This window comes from Homo sapiens, chromosome 12 (assembly GCF_000001405.40).
Source record: "Homo sapiens chromosome 12, GRCh38.p14 Primary Assembly".
In the NCBI taxonomy this organism is placed as follows: domain Eukaryota; kingdom Metazoa; phylum Chordata; class Mammalia; order Primates; family Hominidae; genus Homo; species Homo sapiens.
Genome location: NC_000012.12, coordinates 127,022,511 through 127,048,011, shown reverse-complemented (window position 1 = coordinate 127,048,011; position 25,501 = coordinate 127,022,511). Strand labels below are relative to the sequence as shown.

The 25,501-nt window shown below is 38.8% G+C and overlaps 2 long non-coding RNA genes across 2 annotated transcripts in view, besides 3 other annotated features; one reads left to right on the top strand and one right to left on the bottom strand.

Annotated features, from left to right (window-relative positions):
- The window catches only part of LINC02405 (long intergenic non-protein coding RNA 2405), a 145,171-nt gene that overhangs the window by 12,386 nt on the left and 107,284 nt on the right, over nucleotides 1–25,501 (top strand). The window contains exon 2 of the long non-coding RNA NR_104646.1: nucleotides 15,946–16,145. This is a non-coding gene — a long non-coding RNA (long intergenic non-protein coding RNA 2405). The remainder of the gene's footprint in view (nucleotides 1–15,945; nucleotides 16,146–25,501) is intronic.
- Nucleotides 5,661–5,861: a silencer, noted in NCBI's record as "peak2033 fragment used in MPRA reporter construct". NCBI's record gives its function as "represses an SCP1 promoter by STARR-seq MPRAs in K562 erythroleukemia cells {active_cell/tissue: K562}" and the evidence as "EXISTENCE:reporter gene assay evidence [ECO:0000049][PMID:32103011]".
- Nucleotides 5,845–5,974: an enhancer, noted in NCBI's record as "active region_7324". NCBI's record gives its function as "activates an Ori minimal core promoter by ATAC-STARR-seq in GM12878 lymphoblastoid cells {active_cell/tissue: GM12878}" and the evidence as "EXISTENCE:reporter gene assay evidence [ECO:0000049][PMID:35858748]".
- Nucleotides 9,241–9,441: a silencer, noted in NCBI's record as "peak2032 fragment used in MPRA reporter construct". NCBI's record gives its function as "represses an SCP1 promoter by STARR-seq MPRAs in K562 erythroleukemia cells {active_cell/tissue: K562}" and the evidence as "EXISTENCE:reporter gene assay evidence [ECO:0000049][PMID:32103011]".
- Nucleotides 19,975–25,501, bottom strand: part of LOC105370063 (uncharacterized) — a 51,177-nt gene continuing 45,650 nt past the window's right edge. Inside the window, exons 5-6 of the long non-coding RNA XR_007063518.1 lie at nucleotides 20,480–20,542; nucleotides 19,975–20,075 (exon numbers count right to left, since the gene is read on the bottom strand). This is a non-coding gene — a long non-coding RNA (uncharacterized LOC105370063). The remainder of the gene's footprint in view (nucleotides 20,076–20,479; nucleotides 20,543–25,501) is intronic.

Sequence of the window (25,501 nt, the reverse complement as noted above, 5' to 3'; positions counted from 1 at the left end):
CTACGACTATGGCTGACTTTAAACTACTAACTTGACATCACAGAATATGGGGCTGGGAAGATAATGCACTTCACATTAGCACATGGTCTTATAGGATTCCCAGTGTACAGATACATTAGTCACAAACAATCTCTAGACCCTGGGCAGTAATTTGATGTACTAAAAATAATTAGAATGTGAAGAGTTTTGAGTGTTTCTTACTTTTTAAATGTGATTTATATAATTATAAGTTTATAGCCATTAATTTCTAATAATTGTTGCTTTAATGACTGGCTCACAAATTCCCTGAAAATTTAACAATTGACAGTCATATGCTGGAAGGAGCTGCCTTCTCATACCATTAGTAGAGCCAGGATTGGAGTGCTGAACATCTTCCTTCAGAGACTGAGCATGCAACCTCTGGCCACCTACCTTCCAGAACTGTCTACTATGGTTTCACACTTGAATCCATGACTATAACATATGGTTGATTCCCTCCTCCTGAAAATCCCCCCTCCTGCTCACTACAGTAGGTGGATCCTTCTCCAACATATCTTCCCTGACCATCCCCGCCTCGCCAAGTGCTGCCAAACACACATGGCAACTGCCAGTTCTGGAGAAGATGACCTGTCTATAATCCAAGACATTCTATTTCCATGAGGTTTTTCTTTATGTGACTTCAGGACAAGGAAAATTTTGATAATTTAATTTAATATTTTAATACTATTTGCATTTAATATTTCAATACTATTAATATTTTAATACCATTTAATTACTGTATAAAATCCTACTTATAAATTATATATTACATGTATTGCCCAGTAATAAAAGCCATTACTTTCAATGGCAAAAACCACAATTACTTTTGCACCAACCTAATACTTATAAAACATAGAGTGTAAAATATTTTATATAAATGCATATCATATTTTATATTGTAATATAGTATATACTTAATCTTATAGTAAATCCCACACATTAAATTATAAGATCCTTACTATAGTCCAAACATTATAATTTAGACCATATAATTTAATGTGTAATGTTTAATGTATAAGATTTAATATACCATATTGGCTCATGTAATCAACATTAGAATTCTGTTGGAAAGATATTTTCCTTCATTTTGCATATGAGGAAACTGAGGCTGAGAGAGTTACAGAGCATGTACAAGGTCCCCCCAATGTAAGTTTTGGAATCTACATTAAAGGTAAGAACTCTCTGAGTCTCCTATGTGCAATGATCAGGCTGGTGGGAGGGCAAGGTGCATCCTAGAAATGTCACTATTTTGTCTGGTTTAATGCATCCTTAAAGTATTACCATATTATCTGGTTTAATGCACCCTAGAAGTGTTACCGTATTACCTGGTTTAATGCATCCTCAAAGTGTTACCATACTGTCTGATTTAATGCCCCCTAGAAGTGTTGCCATATTATCTGATTTAATGGATGCCAGAAGTGTCACTACATTATCTGGTTTAATGGTAAGTTATGTGGCTACAATGTATGTCAGTGGGTGAATTTTCTTAGGGGCTGTGCTAATTTATTTTTATGACCTTGAGTTTATGGCCATGAATAGAACTGCTTTTTGTCTCTGAAGTATACCATATAAATAATATATTGGAACATATTTTGATTTTTAGTTAGATCTTGGGTTTTAATAATTCTCATCTAGGATTTTTACATAAATTGTTATTACAGATTTTAGCAAAGATGGGTTTTATTTTCTGTGTCTTTTTCTCAAACTACTTGATCTTTTCTTTTCTTTTTTTTCTTTGTTGCCCTATTCATCTTTTTTTAGCCTTTTAGTTTCATTTTCTTTTTCTTTTGAGACAAAGTCTCGCTCTTGTCCCCCAGGCTGGAGTGCGATGGCACAATCTCAGCTCACTGCAACCTCCGCCTCCCCGATTCAGGCGATTCTCCTGCCTCAGCACCCCTTGAGTATCTGGGATTACAGGTGCCTGCCACCACGGCCGGCTTATTTTTGTATTTTTAGTATGGATGGGGTTTCACCATGTTGTCCAGGCTGGTCTAGAACTCCTGACCTCAGGTGATCCACCCGCCTCGGCCTCCCAAAGTGCTGGGATTACAGGCGTGAGTCACTGAGTCCCACCTTAGTTTCATTTTCTTTCCACTGTCGTAAAGGATATGTTGGCTGATGGCCTGGGTATTTAAAAAATCATAAATATCTATAATCCCCAGAGCATTAACTCTGCCTAATATTTATGTGCAAATCTCTACCAGTTTACGTATTCATTTCAGAATAGAATTCCATTTACTATAGAGCTCTCTGCCAGCCTATGCCTGTACATTTATAATCATGACAAATTATGTAGCTGTCTGAGGGCCAGCACAATATCCTCATTCCAGATAACATCTATCACTCTCACTGTTAAATAAAATTACTCTCCAAGAAATTTACAAATCTTTTGTTATTGTGGAATTCTTAAAATACCATTTGTAAGTACTTTAAAAAGTTGGTTTTAAAGATTCAGAGACGTGTGAATATCTCTGTAACACAGTAATTAAAACCCAGGCCATAAAGGTAAATCCTGGCATATCACATTGTGTCCATCTGACTGTGGGTCTCCTTGCAGTGAGGATAATAATAGCACGCACTTCTTAGGGAAGTTGTGAAGAATAAATAGATTCAAACATGTAAATTAATCAGAATAGCATTTGCCACACTGCAAATGATTGGTACCATTATTACTTTCTGTCAGATAATTGTGCCTAGTTATAAATTTGCTAAGAGGTTTGCAAGAGATAAATGAATGGTATAAATCACCAAAAGGTAGGATTGCTTATTATAACTAATAATCAGCATAGATACTCCTTGTCTAATGTAAAAATAAAGGGAAATAAAATGGTCTCCCTGACCCTGGTGTAATCACTTCCAAGAAGTGATAATTCTGGAAGTAACTAAGAGTTCATGAGGCTAACTACCGGTCAGTGAAGTGTACTTTCCCATCAGGAAACATGATAAGCATGTAGTCATTTTTATTCCATAGTTCTGGCTCCTCCAAAGGCAAAGGAGATGGCATTTCTCCAGCTTAAGTTTCACTATGTAGTTTTAGGAAGTTAACATTAGCTGATATTACTACTATCCTTATCAGAAAATTGCTCTTTTGGAATTTAAGAAAATCTCTATGAAGAGGTACAAAGATTAGCAGCAGATGATGAGAACTGACTCCAGTCTGGGTCAGAGACCAAGGAGGGTATCAATGTTCCTTTACTTTAATGCTATAATCTGATCCTAAGCAGTAAAGCAAACTCAAGCGATTTTCTGAGAACCATCATAGGACAATTTTAACTCCATGAAGTTAATCTGTCAGATTATATATTTTAGAACGTATCTGATATCATTCCAGATGTTTCCTTGGCTAAACATTCTTAAATTACTGTGACAACAATCTATACGTTACTTATTTGCTAATATTGTCCTATTAGTTTGGAACTTCAAAGCTCCTGACCAGCTGAAGAAAGGTGATCCTCAAAAACATGAACCATGAGAGAGTGGCAAGAAGTTAGAAATGTACTATTGGTAATGAGATTATCAAGCAGGCTTTGTTGTACCAAAGGTTTGTCTCACCTGAGGTTATGTCTTTCCAACTAGGTTCATGATAGGAGAACATATTGCTAATAACAATAGTTCATATAAATTGACCCATACACATATCAGGTTCTAATCATTGCATTTTAAATACATTATCGCTGCATCACTAGAACACTCCAAAAGGTAAATTCATCTATTATTCTCATTTTACAGACAAAGAAGTCGAGGCTTAGTAAAGCCAAGAAACTCTCCCAGGGTTATACCATTAAGAATTGGTTATAGACTAGATTCAAGTAAGTTTAATGTTAGAGACTGAGTTCTTAGCCATTGTGTATTATTGACTCTCCTACTTTTACTGGCAGAAACTAAAGTGTTGTTACTGTGTTGTTTTGTTTTAACCAAGCATTTGGTGTAATTATTTTCATATTCAGACAAGCTACAGACTCCTTCAGGGGATAGCAAACTAATGACCTTCAGGACCAATTCAGTCCAATGCATGTTTTGTAAGAAAGAATTTAAAGCTACATCTGATTGTTTATACATGTTTATGCTACACTTGACACATACGGCCTGTGGCTGCTGCTCGTGACAGAGACCACATGGTCTGCAAAGCTACTATCTGGCTGCCCCTGGTGATACAGCCAGGCTTGAGCTTGAGGTATGATGATTACAGGTATCAATGGAACCACACCAAGAAGCATGGATCTCCTGTGGAGCATGATCATATAGGTGATGGGTTCCTAGCCGCCGAGGGTGACAAGCCCAACTCCGCTAAGAACCCAATCCCAGAGCTGACCCCAGATAGGCTCTTTCTGCCTCTTTTCCCAATGCTCACCTGCTGGAGTTCCTTCACTGTGGCTCAGCCTAGAGTCATTCTCATGTCTGGTATGATCTCACTAATACCGTGGCTCCAAATCCCCTTTTTGGATGACTTCATTTCACAATACTCTCCTCTCCCTACCTCTCAGGATGGCCTTCATAGGATCTTTCTCCAACTGAGGCATTTTCTTGTTTTTCTTCAGCAAGGCTAAGCCCCGCAGTGAACATGTCTGATTGGTTTCTTGTCTTTTTCCCTGCAGAATGCAGTCATGAGGTCCTCAAGGGTCCACACCTGGCATGTCCCAGGTGCATCCCATGGGTTGACTTTTCCGCCTGGATCTGCACGTGCCCCAACCTAGGCCTTCATTTAAGACCAACTTGGCCATCCTCTGTCAAACAACAGAGCCTAGCTGGAGTCTCCTAGAATGAGTCATGTTGTGAACCTGGAATACCTGATGTTCCAACCTTTTACCTGAAGATCCAGGCTGAGTTGTGACCCCTCTCTAAGCAGAAGCTTCACCAGGTGCATCAGGCCTGTTAGAGGGGGTCCCCAGAGTGTTTTCCCAGGATGGCAGTGTGTTAGAGGGCTCAAGAGCTCTGGGGGCTATAGAGTCTAAAATGCAGGGCCCGAAGGATTGTGGTTGTAATTATGGGATCCTATTGCCCTATGGAGATATAATTGCATCTTGAAATTATGAAGTATCTCAAAAAAAGTATCAGTTTTCATTTCTGTAACTATAACTGTCTTTCAGGTGGAGCACTTGCTTTCAACCCTCCGTTTATACAATATTATCCATCTTCCATTCATCCTTGTGCACGTCTCACACATACTGCTACAATATTCAGCCTGTGTTGTGAGTGCTGGAGAGAGACGGGGAGAAGCAAATATAACAGATTGGAATGTTTGCCCGTTAGGGGCTACATCACCCAGCACAGGCCAGGTCAGAGCAGACAGTCAATAAATATTTTTAAAATTAATAAACGAGCATGATCACTGTGGCCAATTAAAGATCTAGTAGCATAAGGAAAGAGTGTGGTAGGGGTGTTGGAAGAGAGTAGGGTTGACTAAGCAAATAAACAGGGAAATCAAGTGTGAACAGAGTGTGAAACTGCAAGGAAATAGATATCTTGTTATTCAGAAAGTTGGAAGCTCATAGCCTGATATGTAGAAAGGGCTGCATGTGTGAGCCAGAGTGAGAAGAGTGTGTTGTGGTCCATGCTGCATGGAAGTGTCAAGTGAATGATATTGACAGGTCTCAACCTAATAACTAAGAAAATAAATAGAAACAAGAAAAGGAAACAGCCCAATTTCCCTGAGTTTCAGCTCAACATATAAAATACACAATCACACACATATATAAATACACCCATCTGCACACTTCCTCTTTTTGTGTGAGCAGCTGGAATTTACTGTAGGTGAAACAAATGTGAAGGAGGTTGCGAAACATACAGGATTCTCAGTTACTATTTGAGACTTCTCAATCTGAGTCAGTCTTATAAAATAGTAACTGATTATTTTTAGTTTAAAGGGTAGCCTCAGTTGGGCACTTCAGCCGGATTATCATTGACGCTGGCATACATTAGACTAGAGTACATGTTGAAGCATGTCTTAAAATCCACCTTGTGTCTGCTTAATTGCTGATATGGTTTGGATCTGTGTCCCCAGAAAATCTCATGTTGAATTGTCATCCCCAGTGTTGAGGTGGGGCCTGGTGGGAGGTGAATGGATCATGGGGGCAGAGTTCTTATGAATGGTTTAGCACCATCTACCTTGGTACTGTATAATGATAGAGTTCTCACAGTATCTGGTTGTTTAAAATTGTGTGGCACCTCCCCACTTTCTCTCTTCCTCCTGCCCCGGCCATGTAAGATGTGCCTGCTTCCCCTTCACCTTCCACCATGATTGGAAGCTTCTTGAGGCTTCCCCAGAACCCAGAAGCAGAAGCTAGTACACTTCCTGTAGGGCCCGTGGAAACAGGAGCCAATTAAACCTCTTTTTTTTTTTTTGAGAATAAGTCTTAAAAAGAAGCACTCAGGCTGGAGTGCAGTGGTACAATCTTGGCTCACTGCAACCTCCACCTCCCAGATTCAAGCGATTCTCCCGCCTCAGCCTCTCGAGTAGCTGGGATTACAGGCATGTGCCACCACACCCACCTAATTTTTGTATTTTTAGTAGAGATGGGTTTTCACCATGTTGGCCAGGCTAGCTTCGAACTCCTGACCTCAAGTGATCCGCCCACCTTGGCCTCCCAAAGTGTTGGGATGACAGGCGTGAGCCACCGTGCGTGGCCCCTCTTTTCTTTATAAATTACCAAGTTTCAGGTATTTCTTTACAGCAATGTGGGAACTGCCTGATACAGTCACTCACATTTGCCGAGTGCTTATTTTATGCCAGATATGATCCAGAGCACCGTGCGGTCATGAACGCACGAGGCTGTCACAGTGATCCTGTGGCATTGTACCCATTTCACGTAGAAGAAATGGAGGTTTAGTGAGAATAAGGGTATAAACATATAAGTAGATAGATATTAATAGATAGGTGGGTAGATACGATTTTTCTGAACAAACACGTTGAAAAATAGCATTAAAAATATTATCAGTCATGTTTTTTATTCCAAAGCTTCTAAGGGCCTTCAGCGTGCATTGCTACCTCTCAAGATCAATATATGCCACATAACCCACAATAAACTTAACCAGAGATGCCTTTCCTCCACTAGCATCTAGGAGCACTAGATTTTCTAGAAATACTTTGAGAATCACTGATGATGCAACAGATCTCAAAATGCCTTGAAATTTGAATTCAAAATAATGTTTAAATATAAAATGGACTTTTGTGCTTTATTTCCAACAAATAGAAAGGAAAACTTACTCATGAAATTTAGGCAGCCCATCACACAGAACTAGGTGTTTTGTAATTTTTTGACTCAAAATTGGTAAGCCAGCATTAGAAGGAGTGAGAGTATTGTCTATCTTAAGCTGTGTATAGGGATGATTGCAGCATATAGCCCCAAGGCCATACTGACAGCAAGGTCTTATCTCAGAAGATGGGGAGCTCTATTCTCTCCCTGTATTAGTCTGTTTTCATGCTGCTGATAAAGACGTACCTGAAACTTGGTAATTTATAAAAGGAAAGAGGTTTAGTGGACTCACAGTTCCACATGGCTGGGGAGACCTCACAATCACGGTGGAAGGCGAAAGGCACACCTTACATAGTGGCAGGCAAGAGAAAAAGAGAACCAAAGGAAAGGGGAAACCCCTTGTAAACCCATCAGCTCTTGTGAGACTTATTCACTAACACAAGAACGGGGTAGGGGAAACCGCCCCCATGATTCAATTATCTCCCACCAGGTCTCTCCCACAACACGTGGGAATTATGGGAGCAACAATTCAAGATGAGATTTGGGTGGGGACACAGCCAAACCATATCACTTCCCCATTGTGTATCTTAATTTACTCGCCCAACATCATCCTTCAAGAATTGCCCACTTCTTCATTTCTGTACTTTTTCCACACAACATAGACAAATACTTAGATACACACACACACACACACACACCCTTATAAAATTAATGTCTTTCTGAACATATGGCCATAGCTTTTTATCACACTAACATTATCGAAATCTTCGTCTCTTTCTCTCTCTCTCTCACTCACTCACTCCTGCTCTCGCTCTCTCTCTGTCACACTCTGTGTGTGTGTAAATTCCAAGAAATGTAATGGGGAAATATATTTAAAACCATTAACCTTTTTAGTATCTGCAAGGTTGAGATTCAGGACAGTTAGGCAGATATGATACAGAAAGGGGATTTCCATTTGTTATTTAACCTGTACATTCTGTACATTTATTTAAACTGTACATTTATTTAAACTACCAAAACATACATTGTTTTGATAGTTTAAATAAATACTTTTAATAACTAAAATAACACATGTGTCCTAAGTCAAAGAATTTCTTGGTCCCAATTTACCTCCATGAATTTGAAACAAAGAAGCTAAATTTGAAATCTATTAGGCAATTGGCAACATAGAACACTGAATAATGCGTCCTGAAGCATCTTTGTAGTTTGAAGTGCTTTCTCCTTTATAAATGAGTTTGTGCTGCACAAATGGGTGCTCATAGATACTTGACAGAAATGTCCAGGCCTCTGCAGCACATTGTGTATAAAAGGGATAAGGGAGGCTGAGGCGGGCAGATCACCTGAGGTCAGGAGTTCAAGACCAGCCTAGCTAACTTGTTGAAAACCTGTTTCTACTAAAAAAAAAAAAAAAAAATTAGCCAGGCATGGTGGTGCATGCCTGTAATCCCAGCTTCTTGGGAGGCTGAGGCAGGAGAATTGCTTGAACCCGGAAGGCGGAGGTTGCAGTGAGCTGAGATTGCACCATTGCACTCCAGCTTGGGCAACAAGAGCGAAACTCCATCTCAAAAAAAAAAAAAAAAAAAGGGATGAAAGGCTGTAACCCAGTTTCCTCTAGGAGTTAAACACAGGAGATGGTCCGCTTGCCCGCTGGTTTCAGGCGGAGCCCGCCTGCTTGGGGACTATAAGTCGCATTGTTTGAGGCTCCTGGTGAGCACATGGGATGCCCAGGGACCTTCAGAAGCAATTCATGTTTCTAACTAACTCTTTTAGCAACTCATTCCATGAGACATTTATTGGCAACAAGAACTTGTTTAGAGACATTCACAGAAGCAGAGATAGAGAAATGCATAAGCGTGAATAATTATCTGCAGGAGATAATTGACGACATAGATCCCATGGGTGGAGAAAGACAAAGCCTTTTTCCCGTGTTTGATCCCCTCTCTTCGTGATGAAAGTGACTTGTTTCATGCAGTTGATGACATACCTCAGATTCATCATCATTAGTGTTCCGTTTAACAGGATCTACCAGCTCCACGTGTGACAGTTTTTATTCTGGTAGGCTTTCAATTAAACTCCATAGATAAAAGGTATTTTTACTTCAAAGACATGTAAAATCATCTTTCACTAATGAGTAGATTTGAATGACACAGTTTCACAAGACTGTATCCGACTACCATGAAAACCGTTAGAAGTTTCTTCTTTTCAGTCACTGATTGCCATGTTCCATAAACAGCATGATTTTTATGTTTAATATATAGTGGTGAACACAGCCTACAGAGTCAGGGCCTGAAAAAAAATAAGCCAAACTTTGAAAAGTGTTCACAGAAGTGTAAAAGAATGAATAAAAGCAGAAGGTCCAGTTCTTTCCATGTTTGTAGCTCATGGAAAGTTTGTCCTGGTCACATGTACTGCCACAGTGTGTTTTGTAGTGACTGTTTCCAAGACTCCCCCAGGATTGCAGCAGACACAGCTTGGGGAGGAGGGAGTGGGGCAGAAGGGAGGGTGGGGCTGGCTTTGACCTTGACACACTGGCCCCTTGGTCATTCTGATGGTGTGGGAACCCAGTAGGCCTCAGTTTTCTTGGCTGAATTAAATTTTTCCTGAACTAAAATAGAGTAAGAATCCTGTAAACATGCTTTCGGGCCATGCTTTCGTTTAAAATAAGTCAGGATGGATACGTACATCCATACATACACATGTATATACAATTTTGTAAATACTTATATTGTAAATACTTATATTTCACATATATACCTATAACTATATATTATATATACCTATATTTCACATATATAAAGGGAGATAGATATAGATATACACACATTTGTGTGGCAGGATAAATATAAACAGAAAGAAACAGCAGGATGGAAATATTTTATAGATACAGACATAGATATAGAAAACTCCTGGCCCTGGCCCTCTCCTCTTCCCTGCACTCTCCTGCCCAACATATATATACACACACACACACATATATGTATTTATTTCTACACACACATATATACATACATATACACGCACACACACATATATGTGTATACAGTATGTCCTCACTTAAAGTCATAAATATGTTGATAGGTTCTTAGAAACTACAACTTTAAGTGAAAAGATGTATGGTAGGTCCTCAAACAACGTCGTTTCCTTCAACATTATCTGGTTATAATGTTGATGAGAAAAAACACCGGCTCTGCCGTATGTCTTTCTCTTAAAGTCGCAGTTTCCAAGAGCCTATTAATGACATTAAGTGAGAAATTATACATCCTGCCACTCTTTCTTTTTTACATCTCATATTTACACCATTTACATGTAAAGTAATTACTGATATGTCAGAGTTTAATTCTGCTATGTTTTTATTTGTTTTTTTTTTCTCTGCTTCTTGTTCCTCTGTGTCTTTTTGTGTCCTCATGTGGGATGCATGAAAAGGTTTTAGAATTCCATCTTTTATCATCTTATTGAGCACATTGCATTGTATGGTTTTCTTAGTAGATGCTCTAGTTATTGTATGTGTGTGTGCGTGTGTGTGTGTGTGTGTGTGTGTGTGCGTGTGTGTGTATAAAAACAGAAAGTCTAGTTTCCTCAATGTTTGTAACTTGTGAAAGTTCAGTCCTGGTCACATGCATTGTCACTGTGCTTTGTGGGGTCTGTTTTCAAGGTACCATGTTACCATATGGTCATACACACACTCACATACACACACAAACACTAGGTATCACAGGATGCAGGTATAGATATGGTACCCCTTTGAATGAAGCGTAGAAATCTTACTTCCATTTCTGTCCCTTTGCTCTCCTCACTTTTCAAATATAATTTTCCTACATAATCTCCTCTGCATACGTTGATCACTACAATAGATAATAAGTTCGCTTCGATCCTAAAATATGATTAAAGACACTCAGGAGGTGAAAGATAGTCTATTTTATTTGCTTCTATTTTTATATATAATTCTGTTTTCTTTCTTTCTGAGGGTCAACATTTTCTTCTGCTACCATTTTACTTTGTTTGGAGAGGTCCCTATTACTATTCTTTCAGGGTATATCTTGTAGTAACATATTCTCTTCGTTACATTTTAACAGAAAATGCTTTTTTTGTTTCATTTCTGAAGGATTATTTCACCAGATATAGGATTTTGATTTTATGTGTTTTTTTCTTTAAGTATTTGAACAATGTTGCCCCAATTTCTTCTCATTTCTGTCATTTCAGATGAGAAATTCATTGTCCTTTGAATTGGTATTTAATAAATAATGTATATTTTTCTCTCTGTTTTTAATCTTTTCTTGTTGCTTTCAGTTTTTGGAAGTTTAATTATGGCATATCTTGGTGTGGCTTTCTTTGGGTTTATCTCATTTGAAATATTCTCAGCTTCTTGAATCTGTAGGTTGATGTCTTTTTGCCAAATTTGGGAAGTTTCTAGACGTTATTTCTTTGAAAAGCAGTTCAGTCCTACACTTGTTTTTATCTCTTTCTGTGACTCTAATGATATAAAACTTAAGCCTTTTTTTATTGACCCACAGATCCCGAATGCTCTGTTCATTTTTTTTCCATCAACTTCTCTTTCATTCAAATCAAGTAAATTTTATCCATCTTCCTTCTGTTCCACTGAATCTCTTCTATCTCCACTCTACTATTGAGCCTATCCAGCTTGGTTTTTTTTCTTTCTTTTGCATTTTTCAGTTCTATAATTCCCATTTGGTCTTTCAAAATAACTTCTACTTCGTTACTGAGATTTTGTAATTTTTTCATTTGTCTCAAGAGAATTGTAGTTTCTTGTCAAAGTATTTTTTATGATGGCTGCTTTCAAATCCTTGTCAGATAATTCTAACATCTGATTCATCTCAGTATTTGTATCTGTGCTTATTCTTTCCTCAAACTGCGGATTCCCTGGTTCTTGGTATATTGAGTGATTTTCAACTGTATCCTGAAAATGGTTATTGTTCTTTAAAAGACATTGAGTCCTATTCAAGTCTTTTCTTTTAGCAGGCATTAGGCTTGTTTAGGTTTGGCGTATGTCTAGCATATATTTTTGGTACGTGGTTTGAGTAACAGTTTAGTTTTCAGAGCCCTTTTAGTGCTTCTCTGTTCTGCTTTATTCTTCTGGTGCTGCCGGGCTCACACCCAATCCTGGCTGGTGCCGCCTGCAGCTATAGAAAGTGCTTTCCTGGGCCACCTCCCATGGGGTGGCAGATGATGCTGGTCCTTGGTCTCCTGATGCCATTGAATACAGCACCAGGTGTGGATCAGCCTATGTGGGCTTCATTGTTGCCACTGTGGGTGGGTCAGCTCGCTGGTGCTATAGGTGTGTAGCAATGGTTGAGTTGGTTCCCTGGTGCTCTGATATGCTGCAGGCAGATTAGCCAACAAATGCCCCAGGTGTGCAGCAGCTGTCTGCTTGCTGCCCCTTACCCCAGTTCTACAACCAGAGAAAGCTGCTTTTCTTGGAGTATTTTGCCGATGCCTATTGGGGGTGTCCAGATTGTAATCCTTTCTGGTGGCAGCCTGGGAGATGTGTGGGAAGTCAAAGTAAAACCAAGAGACTTCACCACTTTGTTATTCAAGTCTTGAGGTCCCCAGCTAGTCTGCGTTCTTTCTTCCACATTCAGAGTCCTTCCATTGCTCTCTGTTGAGTCATATCTAGGATTGCTAGTTGTATTTATGAGTGAAGAGTAGGAGAAAGTGCGTATACACCACCTTGTCTTGGTACCAGAAGTTTATATGAGCGCATCTCTTTTTATTTATTTATTTATTTTTTTGAGACAGAGCCTCGCTCTGTCGTCCAGGCTGGAGTGCAACAGTGTGGTCTCGGCTCACTGCAACCTCCGCCTCCTGGGTTCAACCGATTCTCCTGCCTCAGCCTCCCGAGTAGCTAGGATTACAGGCACCCGCCACCATGCCCGGCTTTTTTTTTTTTTTTTTTTTGTATTTTTAGTAGAGACGGTGTTCCACCATGTTGGCCAGGCTGGTCTCGAACACCTGACCTCGTGATCCACCCGCCTTAGCCTCCCAAAGTGCTGGGATTATAGGCATGAGCCACCGTGCCTGACAGTAGCACATCTCTTAAAAGGCTACAGCGTTTCATCTCTTTTTTTCTATTAACACACTTCATTTTTAATATTAACACAAGGTGACACAACTAGCAAAAGAGATGGGTTCCCCACACCTGTGCCTCCTGACTGCTGTCATTCATTGTGAATTGACATAGGTGTTCCATTAGCCTGGAACAAAACTAGCAGAGCTTCTCAATTCTTGTTAAAGAATGATAGCTTTCTTTTCAGAGAGAAAAGGGTGACGTTTATACAAAAACTGACAGGCTTTAGAATAAATATTTATCTGGCAGGAGAAGAAACTTAGACATATCAGATTATCTTAAGAAAATCATACATAGCTGGTAGAATCAACTTTGGCTAAAGAGGGGAATAATATGATGAATAGCAAACATTATATGTGCAAATAATTTCACATTATAGATACCTATTGTTTTCGCTTTCCATAAACTGTGGCAATCAAAATAAAAATGATAAACTGGTGGGGGAAACGTGGCGACTGGGAATCTGAGGGAGGACATTTGTGTTTGGCTCCATCAAATTATGTACCTTTTTATTATCCAAGTTAATGGTATTGTGTTTATAAGCGTTTGTGCCCTAATTCATTTCCTCAGGCTGCGGACAATTTCCTTGTGCTCAACCAAATTCATAAGTCCTCCTGGTAGATAATTCTGCTTCACAGTTTGTTCCCCAAATGAGTTTAGTTTGAATGGAGCTTCCAGTCTGAAACCATACACATCTTCCTCATTCTTCCGTCTCTGCCAAAGCCCTGTCCTGCACACTCCGACCCTCCTAGTCCATCTCACAATGGATGCTCCGCGCAACACGGGACGTTCCAAGCAGTTCACATAGCTTCATTTATGGTATATAGCATAGCTGGACTTACCAGATGAAGTACAGGAAACCCCAGTTAAATTTGACTATAAGATAAATAGTGAATAATTTTATAGTAGAGTATGTCTCAGATATTGTATGGAACATACTTCTGCTAAAAGTATGCATTATTTATCTGCAATTCAAATTTACCACCATGCACTTTTATTTGCGAAGTCTGACAATCTTCTATTGAGGTCATCATGTTTCCACCTTCCAAAACATATCTGTCAGAAAATATGCATTTTTACTCTAGTTCAAGATGACTAGTTTAAAGAAAGCTGTGGTAAAACTTAAATGCTATCTTCCTTAATTCCTTTACTTTGTACTGACCAAATCAAAAACACACTCTAATGTGGCCACTGAATCAATGCAATAAGAAAACTTGGAGCATTATTATCACATTTCCTGTCCAATGCTATTTATGTGAATTAAGAAAATGCACAAAATATTACAACGTATTTTGCAATAAGATGTGTCAGGGTCAAGCACATGTCACAAATATATCTGAGTTCTGTTTATACAGGAGAAAGAGATGAAGAAGACATTTGTATCAGGGGGGAAATGAAATACAACCGTAACAGGGACACATAAAAACCCTTGATGTTTCTGTGCCATGAGATGAGGAGTACAATTAAATCAAATCTCTGCATTTATATACAGACAAGAAAAGAAGACAAAAATAAAGAAACACGTTCTTGAAAGGAACACAGCATTTCTATCCAATGAAGAATGTGAAGATATCCTGGAATACATTTACGGCCCCTCAGCAATGCTGGTCTGAGAAGCACTGCCATCATGTTCACAAACTTTGGAATATGTTCATTTGAGCTTCCCTAGTTCTGCCACATACTCTCCAGACAACCTGGGACAAGTTTCTGAGCCTCAGTTTCCATATCGTAAAAGGGAAATAAGAATACTTACCCCCCTAGGATTTCTGCGAGAGTTAAATGAGATAATGTATTGAAAGTGTCTTGATACAAGACCTGACAAATTCATGCATGTATGATAAATGGCTTACTATTGTTATAGAATGGGATATGATATTATTATCTATATTTCTAATGTGTCTTCCAAACTACAATCTAAATATACAAGTAAATCAAGTATGTTTTAGGTTTTTCTCTGCCTCTCTTTACTCCCCAGCTCTCAATAAACACTTATACATGATTAATTGTAATTGAGTAAGGAGAATAAATTTAGATGAGAAACATAAAGAATAGTTTTTAAAAAGACAGAGAGACTCTAGGAAGTGGTGTCATGGGCTTTTAAGTTTAGAGTCAAGAAGCCCTGACTGTGATATGGGAGACAAATTCAGGAACCTACAGGAGCCAGCTTCTTCAAAATTATCCACTTTTTGATCCATCTTTTATCTTCTCATTTTTATTATGACGTAGATATAGAAACTATTTGTTTTCTTTTTTGTCTATAAAAACATCAGAGGTCCAACCACAGCAATATATAGAAACTAACACTGAAGCTAGCTTCAGGGAGGCAAAAGGGAGTGGTGGGGATTGTGGTAACATGGTGTGGATATCAGCACACACCCTGTTGAAAGGGAGCAGCTGGCTTCCTCAGGCGGGAAGGGAGGGCTGGTGTTGCCTGAGCTTCCAGTTTTTGATAAACTGATAAGAACACATATATTTGTGTCAAATCTCCCAATTTTAAAATAGTGACTCAGAAATATCTAAAGCAGTATGTGAGTAAAGTAAAAAAGAGTCCCATGCCTGCAGGACAAAATTGGGCACGTCAGGCTGTTGGGGCATATACTTTTTCTTTAAGTCACAAAGGAATGATTATCTTGTCTGCTACTTTTGTTTCAGATTAGAAAACCTGAGACCCAGACGGGGGAAACTGCTTTCCATGGTTAATCGTCAACAACTGGCCAGGATGGGACAGAAGCCCATACATAGCCTTCATTCCAGGGCTCAGAACAAAAAGAAGGCAGTGGCCTGGGCTGCACCTGAGCTTGGCTTCACATAGGAGGGATTCTGGAACGCAGGATCCTGACAACGACCTCAAGGTTAGAATGAATGCCAAAGATGCCTTTTTTGTGTGTGCTTTTCTTTTTTAAATAAAATACAAATTGCTTATTTCATCTGTAAAATGGGGAGTATCTCACAAACTCACAATTGTGGTATGAGGACTGAAATGATCACCTGGAGTGGCGATCCTAACCTCCAACTTTCCCTAAGAAAGAATTCCATTTTGTGCATAAAAATTCATGCTTGTAACTAGTGTGTTTATCCAAAATGAGACCAAGAGAAGATTATTTTCCTCCAATAGTGCAAGCTAATAAATAAGACACATTTTAAAGCTGTTTCTAATTAATAAAAGCATTATATCCATTAAAGAGTCGTAACTTAAATCTATCTTCTTAAAAGAAGTAGCTTACATTGCTCATAATTGTGTTAAATGTTAACACTTGCATCATGAGTTACTTCAGAGAAAGGGTAATAAGCCCCACGTGGCTCTCTGCCTCTCTTTGTTAAAAAGCGATCACAGAAACAGGCACACATGCGTTTAAAAAGAGGCCTCAGAAAAACATCTTTCCTGTAGAATTAACATTGATCTTCAATAGCTTGTCCCACTTTTGCATTCTTTTTCACAGATGAAATAGTTGTTCTCCATTGTAAGGCAAAACCGCTTTAAGAACTCAGGGTTCAATCCTGTTGCTATTCTCAGGATTTACTTCTGGTGTTATGGTGTTTTTTCTTTGTAATTTCATTACAAAAAATGTTTATAGGCTACTTCTGAGCCATAAGCTTTGATTACTTTAATGATCACACAACACATATTCTGTAAGCATGCTTTCGATGTGCATCCTGGTGTGTGAGTATTTAATTATATTACTTGAAACAATTCATAGCTGAGAAGAAGATAAGGTTAACTTTGGTAAGGGAGAATGTGAAAATTGCCCTCCAATTCTTTTCTAATGAAACTGTGTTTGTGTCTGTGTGTGTGTGTAGATATATATATATATATATGTGTGTGTGTGTGTAGATATATATATATGTGTGTGTGTATATATATATGTGTGTGTGTAGATATATATATGTGTGTGTAGATATATATATGTGTGTGTAGATATATATATGTGTGTGTATATATATATGATACATATATCTATACACATATAATACATATCTAAGATATATATATCTTATATATGTATCATATCTATATCTATATATATATAGATATAAAATATATATAACACAACAAAATATTCCCTAAACATTTTGTGTCAATCCTATGTTAGGCAGTGAACTCCAAATTTGACCAAGACGCAGCCTTTGTCCTGTTATTTTTATAACCTCCAAGGGAGGACACGGCGCCTGTGGAGGTCATCATTTTGATCATTTCGCAAGGTAGACGCTGGCCAGGATGATGACAGAGATGTAGACCTGATGCCCAGAATCTCAGGAGTGTGAACGTCTTGTTTTCCCATCATAAAACAGGAAACGTCATTCCTGGGGAAGAACACCCAATGAACAGGCACCTCCTTAGAGAGATGGTGCATTTTTAACTAGGAAGAAAGGAAACATATGTTCAATGTAAGGACAACCTTTACAAATGGGAAGAAGAGAGATCTTGGCTGATTTTACCTCTGTAATTATGGCAAAGGGACAATTGAATGGGTGGAAAGTGAACATGCAGTCCTTCCTTTGGAGTAAGGTTATTAATTTTGGTTTTACCTCTGTATCTCATTTATGCAAGGTTCAGGAAATATTCTGTGATGATAGCTGTATTAGATTCCTAGGGGCTACATAATAAAGTACCATTACCATCAACTACTTGGCTTAACACAAAAGAAATTCTTGTCTCACAGTTCTGGAGCCTGGAAATCTAGAATCAAGGTGCCACAGGGTTGCTCTCTACTGGAGGCTCTGAGGGAAAGTCTATTCCATGCGTCTCTCTGAGATTCTGATAGTTTCCCACACGCTTGGGTGACCCTTGGCTCGTGGACATATCACTCTAGTCACTGCTTCAGTCTTCACACGATGGTATCCCTGCGAGTTTATCTGTTTTCTCTCATTATACAAACACCAGTCATATTGGACAAGGGGCCCATCCTCCTCCCGTATGACTCCATCTCAACCCAATTACATCTGCGGAGACCCTATTTCCAAATAAGGTTGCACTTCACATGTATCAAGATTTAGGACTTCAACATATCTCTTAGGGAGACACATTTCAGTGCACAAAATGGTACTTACAATAAATATTTTACGTGGGCTCAAGTATATATAAGTAGCCTGAAGAGTTCCATAGACAACCATATAAACATGAGTGGATTTCCAAAATACAGTGCTAAGGAGAAAATGTTAAAACAAAAAAGACCAGGAATAAGAGCACAATACTATTTATTTATATGGAAACTGTGTCACCAGCTAATTACTATATATCTTTCAGGAATAAATATTTTTAAGCACAAATATCAAATATATTAGAGTAGTACCTATGGGGAAAAAAGAATGATGGGTGGGGATAGGGATGAGATGAGTGGTTTAAAACAATGGCCCTAGATTACTTTAAATTTGTCCCATTAAGATGTAGGTTCTATGTTTTTTCCCCTTGAGTTTGAGTGGGTTTTTGACAGTTTCAACCATTAAAGTATTGCAGAAGTGATGCCTTCAGCATATTTGGTTCTCTTGGGACACTTACTCTGGAGGAAGCCAGCTGACACATGGGAAGAAGCCATGTGCAAATACAGAGTCAACAGCCCCAGCTGAGCTACAAGTTGACAGGTGGCATCAGCTGCAGCCATGTGAGTGCACCATCTTAGACTTGCAGCTCAGTTGAGCCTTCAGATGATGGCAGCCCCAGCTGATAGCTTATTTTAATTGCAGGAGATCCCACACAAGACTACTGAGCTGATCCCTTGCTCTACAAAATTAAGAGTAAAATCATAGTTATAGGCCAGGCACGGTGGCTCACGCCTGTAATCCCAACACTTTGCGAGGCCGAGGTGGGCAGATCACGAGGTCAGATGTTCAAGACCAGCCTGACCAACATGGTGAAATCCTGTCTCTACTAAAAATAGAAAAATTAGTCAGGCATGGTGGTGGGTGCCTGTAATCCCAGCTACTCAGGAAGAAATTGCTTGAACACTGGAGGTGGAGGTTGTGGTGAGCTGAGATTGTACTATTGCACTCCAGCCTGGGCGACAGAGTGAGACTCCATTTCAAAAAAAAAAAAAAAAAATTCATAGTTGTGTTAAGTTGCTAAGTATTGGAGTCATTTGTTATACGGCAATTCTTAACTAGAACATAAACAGAAACAATGAAATTAAATAAAAAGGGAGGCCTTGAATGGGTGAATGTTGATGATGTCCTATTATACAGCAGGCAGTATATCAGAGTGAAGGTGACTGAGACGTACAGGGAGTGACAGGGAATGTGTTGACAAAGAGAGCACAGGATTGTCCAGAGAGGGCAACTCATTCAAACTCCAAAGAACAATGAGCACATCAAAGGAAACCTGTGAGCTAAATGCAGCTTCCAAGGCCCAGGGTTTGTTCTCAACTCTGATCTAGGTACATATTTACCCAGCTCCCCCATCTCTAAATCAAAGCAGACACACAAGTGCTTGGCACATTCCAATTGGTGAACACAGATTTTAAGATAATCCCCATCTTGAAGCACTCAAAAATATCAGGCAAGCAGCCCCCTATTTCCAGTGAAAAGATCAATGCAATTGCTAATGTAAATATTTAGATCTTAGAGATCTAGGTACAAAAATAAAATATTGATTTTATAGTTTTAGCTCTATATAGTTTTAAGACACATATTATACAAAATAACACAGGAACGTAGATATAATTTTCCACTTAATTAAAGAAACAATTTTATTCATATTGTTTTGGCTCACGTATTAGACTTCAGTGCTTTCTTCATCACTCATGGAGTTATCTGACTGGGTGCTCAGAATTCATCATATTCACTTCTGTCTATGTGTTTTAAGAGAAAAATACATATATATTATTTTCAATACAAGCACAGTGTGTATATATATACACACACACATATACGCATACATATACATATATACATATACACACACGTATACATATATACATATATACATATGTATATGTGTGTGTATATTTATGTATGCATACATATATACATATATGCATACATAATGTAGAAATATACATGTGTATACATATATGTATGTATTGAAATTACATGCATATACACATATGTATATATGTATGTCTGTGTGTGTGTGTGTGTATATATATATATATAGTGCTTGTTTTGAAAATAAACTAAACTACTTGTATCCATTTGCATTGCATTAAGGTCTTTTTGGTTGTTGTTGTGTAATGTTATATTGGCAGCTACTTACCACATTGTGTTTTCATAGGATCTTAAACTGCAGGTAGGAAACTAAACTTCAAGGTCTACCAGCCTGTAAGAATAATGACAAAATCGTTACTATGTGCCTTCATCCCTTTTCTCGCTAGTTGCATGAGTAGACTTCCTTTAGAATCTAACATTAGCACCAATAGAGGTTGTTTCTGGTTGATTGGTCTCCCCCAGATGTACTTTGTGTTAAACAATAATGTGATTGGGAGGTCAGCACATAACACGCACTATTTTTCTCAGCGTTAATGTGAGGGAAAGTTTTATTTTGTATTTAGGCATATAGGGGAATTGTCACCCTCCCTTACAATAAATGTTAGCATGCCCTGTGTGTCTTTACATTGCACAGAGAATCCTGGACTCAGCAAACTCTCTTCTGTTATGACGCCAACCCACCATGTTTATGTCCTGTGAGTACACAGGTCTCTAAAGGCATCAGTCTTCCAAGGCAGAGGGTGAAAAGGTGATGCTGAGGAGGTCCCTGATTGTCAGTGGTCTACCTCTACTTTCACTAAAGAGCCACTCACGTCTTAGTATCAGACGGCCTAGGTGGAAGTCACTATGAAATACCCACGTGCACATGCCTAACTTATTCTGATAAGTGTTGTGTTGCCAGAAGACAAGTTGGTGCCTAAAAACATACAACAGACTTAGAGGTAATCTGTAATTCATGGTGAAGTTCAACTCCTTTTAATTTTTCCCTGAAATGTACAAATGCCCATATCGTATGTCAACTCCTTTTTGAATCATAATGAGAAGATCACTTCATTTCAATTCCATCCATTCATTTCTTTCTATTTTCCCACAGTCATCCACTCTGTAAATGAATAATTATCACACATAAGAGAATAACAACATATGCACTGTTTGGCTTATAGGGTCAAAAATGGCAGACACAAAGAATTATTTTGGTAAACACTGACGAAAGTTTTTATGCTTTAATTATTGGCTGAAATGCAGTAGAGGTCACTGCTTGCTCATTCTCCCTTCCCCACACCCGCTAAATCACCTGTCAGTTTAAAGTAAATTTTAGTAGATTCAAAGCAAGACAAGTGACTTTTGTAACACAGCTCTGGGTATATCTCTCAGTGATGTGGGCATTTTGTGCCCTTGTTTCTTAGGAAAGCTCTTCTCTAAACCGATCTAGCCAGATGCAGAGCTTTGCATGAAAACATTCAATAGATAGAGAAATGGGAAAGGGTGACAGGGATCAAGGATGAAAATGGAGATTTCTCTCCTGTTAAGAAAATTGGTATCTTCTTACTACTATCAATTCGGCATGAAGGGAGAAATGGGTGTCTGCTCTGCCATCTTGCTGAAGTGCCATAGTGGGTAAAACAAACTCCACCCTCATTCATTCCATAGGTCAGAGCCAAAAGCTGCATTGGCCACTATAGTGGTTTTGTGAATGATAGAGCTGTCATGGACCAAAATGGAAACTGGAGAGAACAGTGTGTAAAGTTTTATGGGAAATTCTAATTAGAATCAGATGGAGGTTTTTTTGGTTTGTTTATTTGTTGTTGCTGTTGTTTTGGTTTGTTCTGTTTTAATGGACTTCTAATGTACGTGGGCACAGATAGATGCACAGTTAAAAAAGTAAGCAAAACAGGAAGGTAAAACTGAAATGAATTCCCAAGCTCTTATTGATAGAAGTGTGGGCATGATGGTAGGTGGTTATTATGCCATTGGTCTTGAAGGCTACTCGTGCCTTCATGTCTTGCCTTAAAAGACAGCTCTATTTTCCCTCCTCTAGTAATAGAGCCATTGTATCCCCTTGTGGCCATAGATAGTATTATATATACTCCAATTTCAAAATCTATAATTCAGTTGATCAAAATGTCAGGTTTTACCAAAAATACTTCACCAGGCAATGCAGAAGAGCCATGCCTGGGAATATTTTTCAATGATTACTCATTGGTACAATTCTAGGATATGACTGAATTACTCTTTTCATAAAACTATTCTTTTAAAATAATTCTTTCTTCTGTAATTAATAAAAAAATCAAGTGAAAGGCACAAATGAACATTTTTCCCTAAGTGCTAGAAATCAAGCATTTGTTTTAGGTGAAATGAGTTTTAAAGTAATCGTCAGTCATTCAACTAAAAGTGAAAGCAGCCAGACAACTAGAAATCTGGATTAGCTTCAGATTGAGTTGGAGTCAACTTTGTTTTCATATCTGGTGGCTCAGTTTGATATGCATTATATTTGAAAATGATGAATTCCAAATATATAAATTCCTGATGCAATTCTCAAATACAACCTAGAGACTTGAAGACAAGACTTAAAACTGTGTCTTATTTATCTGAGTTTTCGTAGCACAGAACACACAGGCTTCATAGTGTTGTTGGCTAAATGAATGTGGCCCATGTGAGAAAGCATTGAGGTGGATGAGGCTTGGAGCCACAGGTTCTAAACCCAGGTGTGTGACTAACTCACCACTTACCTTAGATAATGTCCCTTTACTCATCTAAGTTTCAGTTACAGTCTTTACAGATTAGGAATGGAATTCTGCACCCTGCAGAGCCCTGGCTTCCTGTCACTGTGTTGATGCTAATACACAAGGATGAACACGTGGACCTGTGGTGAAGGTTTGAGCTGAGCTGTGTGTGTTTTCCTATCTCTGTTCCTCTTGCCATTCCTAAAACCAGAGCTCATTTCCCTTTCTGTTGATTCCGCTTTTTACTGACCAATTAAGAAAGCACTGATTGAGTACTGACTGTATGCAATGGGCCAGTGGAAATGTACTCTAGGATTCAGGGGTGATAATGGCAGCAGATTTTCATTATGGAAGCGACCCCAGTGAAGACAGCAGTTTCTGGCGTCATGGAGATCACAGCCCAGTGATGTGATAGAGACATGTCCACCCGTCCAACCACCCATCCAGTGAGCATTGGTTGAACAGATTGTGTTGAATGCAACAATGGAATAATGTCACCAGGTTTATGGGTGATGATGGTGGCAGATTTTCATGATAGAGAGGTCACCCCAGAGGGAAAAACAGTCTCTGGATTACAGACACATTTTCATTTGCTGGGGAAAAGCTGCCCCAGGAAGCTTCTCAGTGTAGCTGACCCTGCCCCCAACTGCTCTTCTTACAGCATTTTAGTATGCCTGTTAGTTAGCAGAATGATGTACATTTTACCCCATAGGTCCTTTTTAATTCCTCATTTGCCTCCCGCCCTTCCTCCTTCAGAGTCTCTAATGTTCATTATCCCACTCTATATCCCTTAGCTTACCCATTGCTTAGCTCCACTTATGGGCGAGAACATGTGGTATTTGGTTTTCCATTCCTGAGTTACTTCACTTAGAATAATTGCCTCCAGCTCCATCCATCCAAGTTGCTGCAAAGTACATTATTTTGTTCTTTTTTATGGCTGAGTAGTATCCCATGGCATATATATGCCACATTTATTTTATTTAGTTATCAGTTGGACACTTATTTGATTCCATATCTTTGAAATTGTGAATTGTGCTGATACAAACACACATGCAGGTGTCTTTTTTATACAATGACTTATTTTCCTTTGGGTAGATACCTGGTAGTGGAATTGCTGGATCAAATGGGTGATCTACTTTTAGTTTTCTGATAAGTCTTCATAAACTGTTTTTCATACAGGTTGTACTAATTTACATTCCCACCAGCAGTGTACAAGCATTTCCTTTTAACCACATTTGTGCCAACATCTATTGTTATTTGACTTTTTAATCATGGCCATTCTGGCTGGGGTAAGGTGATATCTCACTGTGATTTTAATTTGCATTTTCCTGATGATTCGTGATGTGGAGCATTTTTTTTCATATCTTTTGGCCATTTGTATACCTTATTTTGAGAAATGTCTATTCACGCCATTTGTCCAGTTTTTAATGGGATTTTTCTTTCTTGCTGATTTGATCAAGTTCCTTGTAGATTCTGGATGTTAGTTCATTGTCAGATGCATAGTTTGCAAATAACCCTCTTTTTACATTGTAAAAACAATTAATTTTAGTAATTCTCCCAATCTCCCTCTCCCCACAAAATAAAAACAATTCAGTTAAGCTTGACACAGAAGTTTGACAGGATTTGTAAGATCTTATTCCACAGTGGTGCACGTGGAACACTTTCAGATGTAAAGTGTCCTGGGGAACATTTTCTCTTCTCTGTTCCATCAGTGTCTCTCTGTGCATTTATCACCTCGTTACTGGGGAAAAGGTCTGGGGTCTGATATTTGAGGAATTTTATGGCTCAGAGAGCAGGCTAAGTAGCAAACATGTTCCGTTCCTCCTCCTTGCCCCTCTGATTCAATCAGGATGGGAGGATGCAAAAACAAGAGAATGAGGCTTCCAGCCATTTACCAGGTGGTTACATATTCATTCTCTCTGTCTCCTGAAAGCTCTACCAGTGTCTGGACGGGAACCATCTACTCCAAGTTGTGAGGGTTCATTAAATGCCAGGCAATGTACTATGCATTTTAAGTATCATCTCATTGAATCATTTCCAGACCCTTATGAGGTATCATTATTCCCACTTAGTATTTGAATGCTAAAGAAAACAAATTCTCAAAGGACTAAGTCTACCTAAAGGCAGTAGACCTGTTGGATTACTGTTTGGACTTGGAATTAAGACAGAACTGGATTGACTCTCATCTCTCTCATTTCCTGGCACTGTGACCATTAGTAAGTTACTGAAATTGTTTGAGCCTCCATATCTCATCTGTAAAATAGAGATGATAAGAACATGGTGAGGGTCAGTCGTTCTGTACCCTGCCTGGAAGAATATTGGTTGTTGCTTATGGTTAGTGGTGAGGGAAAAATAAGGGAAGAAGAAGGGGAGTTGTTATACCACCAAAAGAAGTGGGGCTGAGCTGAGCTGAGCTGAGCAGAACTTGGCTGGCTTCGCTGGGTCTTTTGTTTTTTTTTTTTTTTTTTTTTTTTACCAGTTTGGGGCCAAGGAGATAGCTTGCACATTTGGTGAATTGATTACATATTGGGTTTATTAGTTTCTTGTGGCTGGTGTAACAAATAACC